The sequence below is a fragment of the Homo sapiens genome, chromosome 20, assembly GCF_000001405.40.
Source record: "Homo sapiens chromosome 20, GRCh38.p14 Primary Assembly".
In the NCBI taxonomy this organism is placed as follows: Eukaryota; Metazoa; Chordata; class Mammalia; order Primates; family Hominidae; genus Homo; species Homo sapiens.
This window is the reverse complement of record NC_000020.11, coordinates 17,021,991-17,027,980: the sequence shown is the minus strand read 5'-3', so window position 1 is coordinate 17,027,980 and position 5,990 is coordinate 17,021,991. Positions and strand designations below refer to the sequence as shown.

General features: G+C 42.4%; 2 annotated features.

The window, feature by feature from the left end:
• Positions 2,547–3,746: an enhancer, noted in NCBI's record as "BRD4-independent group 4 enhancer chr20:17004880-17006079 (GRCh37/hg19 assembly coordinates)". NCBI's record gives its function as "activates an origin of replication core promoter dependent on BRD2, P300/CBP, MED14 and CDK7 cofactors, and independent of BRD4, by STARR-seq in HCT116 cells {active_cell/tissue: HCT116}" and the evidence as "EXISTENCE:reporter gene assay evidence [ECO:0000049][PMID:35650434]".
• Positions 2,778–3,365: an enhancer, noted in NCBI's record as "OCT4-NANOG-H3K27ac hESC enhancer chr20:17005261-17005848 (GRCh37/hg19 assembly coordinates)". NCBI's record gives its function as "activates a minimal SCP1, AML or CMV promoter by ChIP-STARR-seq in naive H9 embryonic stem cells {active_cell/tissue: H9 hESC(naive)}" and the evidence as "EXISTENCE:reporter gene assay evidence [ECO:0000049][PMID:30033119]".

Below are 5,990 nucleotides of genomic sequence, written 5' to 3'. Positions count from 1 at the left end.
CCTAAGTGTCGGCCAGTCTGAGAAATAAAGGGAAAGAGTACAGAAGAGAGAAATTTTAAAGCTAGGTGTCTGGGGGAGACATTACATGTCGGCGGGTTCCCACATCACATGATGCCCCCTGAGCCGTAAAACCAGCAAGTTTTTATTAGTAATTTTCAAAAGGGGAGGGAGTGTACGAATAGGGTGTGGGTCGCAGAGATCACATGCTTCACAAGGTAATAAAATATCACAAGGCAAATGGAGGCAGGGCAAGATCACAGGACTGGGGTGAAATTAAAATTGCTAATGAAGTTTCCAGCACACATTGTCATTGATAACATCTTATCAGGAGACAGGGTTTGAGAGCAGACAACCAGTCTGACCAAAATTTATTAGGTGGGAATTTCCTCGTCCCAATAAGCCTGGGAGCACTACAGGAGACCAGGGCTTATTTCATCCTTTATCTACAATCATAAAAGACAGACGTCCCCAGAGCGGCCATTTTAGAGGCCTGCCCCTAGGCACCCATTCGCTTTCTCAGGGCTGTTCCTTGCGGAGAAAAAGAATTCAGCGATATTTCTCCTATTTGCTTTTGAAAGAAGAGAAATATGGCTCTGTTCTGCCCGGCCCACAGGCAGCCAGACTTCTCCCTTGTCCCCTGAACATCACTGTTATCCTGTTCTTAAGATGCCCAGATTTGATATTGTTCAAACACACAGGCTCTACAAACAATTTGTGCAGTTAATGCAATCATCACAGTGTCCTGAGGTGACATACATCCTCCTCAGCTTACGAAGATGATGGGATTAAGAGATTAAAGTAAAGACAGACATAGGAAATCACAAGAGTATTGATTGGGGAAGTGATAAATGTCCATGAAATCTTCACAATTTATATTCAGAGATTGCAGTAAAGACAGGCATAAGGAATTATAAAAGTATTAATTTGGGGAACTAATAAATGTCCATGAAATCTTCACAATTTATGTTCTTCTGCCATGGCTTCATCAGGTCCCTCCATTCGGGGCCCCTGACTTCCCGCAACACTAAACTGTAGGTGTAGAAAAATCAGTGGCTGAGCTTACCTTCTTAGCAGCTTATTATTTCTTTTTTCTTTAGCCATGGTTTAGGCAGAAGTAGGCTAGAGTAGGTCAACATGGGAGACACAGGGCAGAGAGGCACAAGGCCATGCAGCCTGGTCAAGTCCATTCAGGAAATGAGGTTTCAAGTCTGGGACAGCAGCACAATGGAGCAGAGGGAATGTGAAATGTCACAAAGTTAAGGAAGCCCTGCTAAGGACCTGGGGTATGGGGGCAGAAACTTGGGTCCTAAGTAACTGAAGAGTGGAGTCAGTGTCCAGATACTGCAGGATCAGGACACAAGAGGCCTGAACAATGGCATCAGGATCCAGCTGCAGAGTGATTCATAGCAGATGACCAACATTTCCACTCTGGCTGGAGCGCCAGGCATGCGGAGTGTATTTCCAGGGCAGCCAGGGGCATTACAAAGTGTAGAGCCAAAGCCTCCACATGAGAGGTCATAAATGCCATAGATCAAACCAGCCCCTAGGCTTAATAACAACAGCCAGCAACTATATCATGCCTCTGTTTGCCAGGCATGCCTCTAAGGAATTCACATATATTACCTATTAATGTACTTCATCTTCATTACCACGTTGAGGGGTGAAGATTATTACTCTCCACATTTTGCTGATGAGGGAGCTGAAGCACATGGAGGTTAAGCCATTTGGCCAAGGTCACTCAGTAAGGAAGTGAAGGACTCAGAAATTGAACCCAGAAAGTCTCTGAAGCTTGGGATCCTAAGTTCTACAGCTTCTTCTTTTTTTCTTTTTTTTTCTTTTTTTTTTTTTTTTGCTCAAGCACTAATTCGTAATAATTTGGAATGAGTTGTCAGCATTTAAAGATTGGAAGATCTATCAGCCTGGGTCTGCATTTCCCCTATGGGAACACATTGCTGGAGCTGGTAACCACTACCTGTTAGATGGTGCATGAACTCTCCAGTTTGCCACAGTCCCTCCCACTCTGTATTGCTTACTCCCAACTCATTTCACTCATTTGTGTTATCTACTTTGTACCATTGAGGTAGTGAGTTTGTAAGCCCCTGGCTCAAGGATCAAAGTGAAGAATACGCATAAATAGGAAAGGAATTCAGGGGTCAGAAGCTGAGCAGAATGGTGGCCATTGGAAATAGACTGTAGGGGGTCCAAGATAGTTATCACTGGATATTCATGACTTGCTTTTAGAGGTCCTTGGGATCAAGAGCATATGGATTGTATAAAATGTTCAAGGTCAAAGTAGCAAGATGTACAGAGATTTTGAAGACAGGTTCTGAGTACACTGAGCCCAGGTCTTCTTTATATGAGCTCTCTGATCATGGTTTAAATTAGGGCCACAGTGGATTTGACTACATTTTTAGAGACAAGACAGCACAAATATTGACCTAGAGGAGGGAAGTCCAGGGTGGTAAGAAGACTGTTGTTCCTTTCATTTGTCAAGGGCAATACAGCAAATTCTCTCTGCACTTGTCAGTGTAAAATTGTTGCCTGGAATGATGACTATGAACAAATACCATCACAAATAAATGCAAATTTGTCATCCACTGAGGTATCTTTGCCTTAGAAACCTGAATAAATCACAGTCCAAATCCCACTTCCACACTCTGTGGAAGTTTAAAGTCCTGCCCAGGATTTCTGGACATATTCACGGCATGTTTACGTTCGTGGCAACCTCTGTCTCCTGGCTGCTGCTTTCCTGCCTCAGAATCCAACCGACCTCTTCACTTTGTCTTCCACACACAAAATATCCTGCACACAGAAAATGTTTACAAGTAGAGTGGGGGAGAGAAGGAGTATTTCTAGTGCAGTAACACAAATGTTCTTTAATTTAATTTTAGGCATCTAGAAATTTCCTTCACCCACCCAACCACAGAGGATTCACCACTGCCTCTTTCCTGAAGATGAGCTTTGGCATCACCCTGTGCATCACTTTCAGCATCACCCCTCCCACCTTCTTCTGCTTTCTCTGGTCTCCTCTCCTCCCTCGGGCACAGCAGGGTTTCCGCCTCTGGAATCATGCAAAGTCCTTTGGTTCTATTTTATAGTTCCACCTCCTTCAGATAGCACGTTTTTATCCTCACGATCTCAGCTACCAGATCAAAGGTTAATTTCCCAAATAAGAAACATTCTAGTAGCAGTTACTAAGAGAATGAGAATTTCACCTCCATACTTCAGCACAATGCCGCTTTCTTTGAACCCTGGAGAGACTGCATGATTGTGCAGATTCTTTTCTCTGTTGTGGTATGCTAATGGAAGAGCCCCTCCATGGGAGGAGTCAAGGAGAGCATGTCCTCTGACTCACAGAAAGGGCATGCAGTGGACAGGAGCCCACAGTTCTACTCTACACAGAAGTTGGAATCTCAGAGTATGGGAGTTAAAAAGGATTAATGTAAACTTTTCAGGTTATAACATTTTTTCCTCTTGAAGTCACCTGAAAGAGAATATGAGCCTCATTTCTACATGAAAATAAACATCCAAGCCTTCATTCCCCAAGGCACAACAATTAACTATAATGCCAACGTTACTTTAATTTCCTGGATAACTAAAACTAAAGAAGAGAACCCTTCTGGGGACTGGCTCATAGCACTTACAGTTTTTTTTAACACGGTAATTCTCCAACCCCCACACACATCAGAATGTCCCAGAGCAGTGGTCCCCAACTTTTTTGGCACTAGGGACGGGTTTTGTAGAAGACAATTTTTTTCAGGAATGGGGTCGGGGGTGAGGGGAATGATTTTGGGGTAAAACTGTTCCACCTCAGATCATCAAGCATTAGTTAGTTAGATTCTCATAAGAAGTGCACAATCTAGATCTCTCGCATGCACAGTTCATAATAAGGTTCCTGCTCCTTTGAGAATCTAATGCCACTGCTGATTTGACAGGGGGTGGAGCTCAGGCTGCAATGCTTGCTCAGCTGACACTCGCCTCCTGTGCGGCCCGGTTTCTAGCAGACCGCGGACAAGTACCAGTCCGCACCCCAGGGGTTGGAGGCTCCTGCCCTAGAGTTCTCATTGAAACACAAATTGCAGAGCTTCACTCTGGACTTTCTGATTTTGGAAATCTGCGGTGAGGCCTGAGAATTTGTATTTCTACATGCAAATTTAGAGAATTTAAATTTAAAGACTGAATCACAGAGCCGTGTGTGTGTGTGTGTGTGTGTGTGTGTGTGTGTGTGTGTGTGTGCTGATCCTACATTGTCTTCTATAAATGGGCTTATTTTTCAGTTTTCACCACCACAGCCTCAGCTGTTTCTAATTTTCTAGGCAAACCGAGGAAGACTTGGGGATGGAAGGTGATAGCACACCTGATTATCCTACTTTATTTTGGAAGGTGGCATTTAATCCAATTCAGAAATACAGAGCCCCTAACTGGCTTCAAATCCTCCCAGAAGACAGGACTGTCTCTCTTGGACAACGTTTGCAGATCTTTCTAGGTAAAGGAAAAAAAGATCAGTCCGGACACATGATGGTGGGTCCAGCCAAACTGGAAATGTACCTTTAACTTTCAAGGGTTTTTAGATGCAGAATAAAATAAAGGTAATTTTGAGACAGGGAGAATATAAGGGCATATGAATCAGTTACTCTGTCTAGATGTCAACCTCCCAGAATCCTCCTAAGACCTTGGGATTTCCTCACTGTGAGCTCTCTTTGCAGCCCTGGTAACCATCAGCTTACCCTGATGATTGACATCTGCCAATCTTGGCCAGTGTCACCATGGCAACCACTTTTTCCATTGGCTGAGGTGTGTCTTATCCGATGCTGCTTCCTGCCAAAACTAAATACTCCTTTATGTACTTCATGGCTCAATTTACACTGATTTATCTTGTATAGGGTTATATCAGTAACCAAAAATTTTTTGTGTTTGATTACATGAGTCCATGAGACATCATGACTCTCAGATGAAGAATCCTTGTAATCAAATGCCATTTAGAATAACTTAAACTTTCTTCTTGTCATTTGGTCCCTTCTTCTAAAAATGGAATGCCCCTAAAGAAAATACAGTTAATAGTGTTAGCCTGAGGTTAGCCCAGTTAGTTGGGTTTTACAGGGAGGAATAGCTTTGTTATTAAGTCCTTTTCAACAAAAAGGGATTTGTGATTAAAAGAGTCCATCTTAAATCCTGAGAAGCTGGATTATCTTGCACCCCAGAGGCAAAGCTTAGCTGAGCGTGCATTGCTGGATTCCACTAGCCAAAACTGTCCTGCAAATGTATGGCTATTTATCCAATAAATGTCTGCAAAGTAATTGAAGAAGAGGATGGTGAGAAGGAACAGCCCTTGGCAAATTTGTGAATTCACAAAAGATAATCTTTGTCCTCAGCCTCCTTTTTCATCTTTTACCCTTACCTGATTGAGTTTTGAGGTGCACTGCAAATTTCAACTTTTCTGTAAGATTTAAATCATTAAAAAATAAAAAATTTAAATATACTTTGACTTTATTATTGAATGAAAGATAGTTTCCAACAGTGACCCATATACCTTTTCACTTTTCTGACATTCTGTGTCTCACCTCTTCTCATCCAAAAATATTGCTACTCCTAATCATATTGTTCCTGGGGGCAAAGAAGTCTTTCTGAAATACAATTTCTGTCCAATTTATTAAAGGAAACTATTACTTTGCAAGTTGTTTTACATGTGTTACTTCATGGGATCCTCACAAAATCTATAGAAGTAACTAATCCCTGATGAGGAAACTAACACAGGCAAGAATGAGCAAATTGCCCAGTGTCACACAGCTTTCAGTGGCAGGCCAATGTGACAAAAAAACCCATCCTATTTTCTAAAGATGTGCACCCATTTCCTTCTTCCCAATCGAGGGAAAATCTGATGCTCCATAGGGGGAAGGACAGCTCCCATAATAGATCTTGCCAACTGTGAAATAGACTATTTCACATGGAGATATAAAAAGCAGGCAGAAAGGAGATGTTAATGATACTTG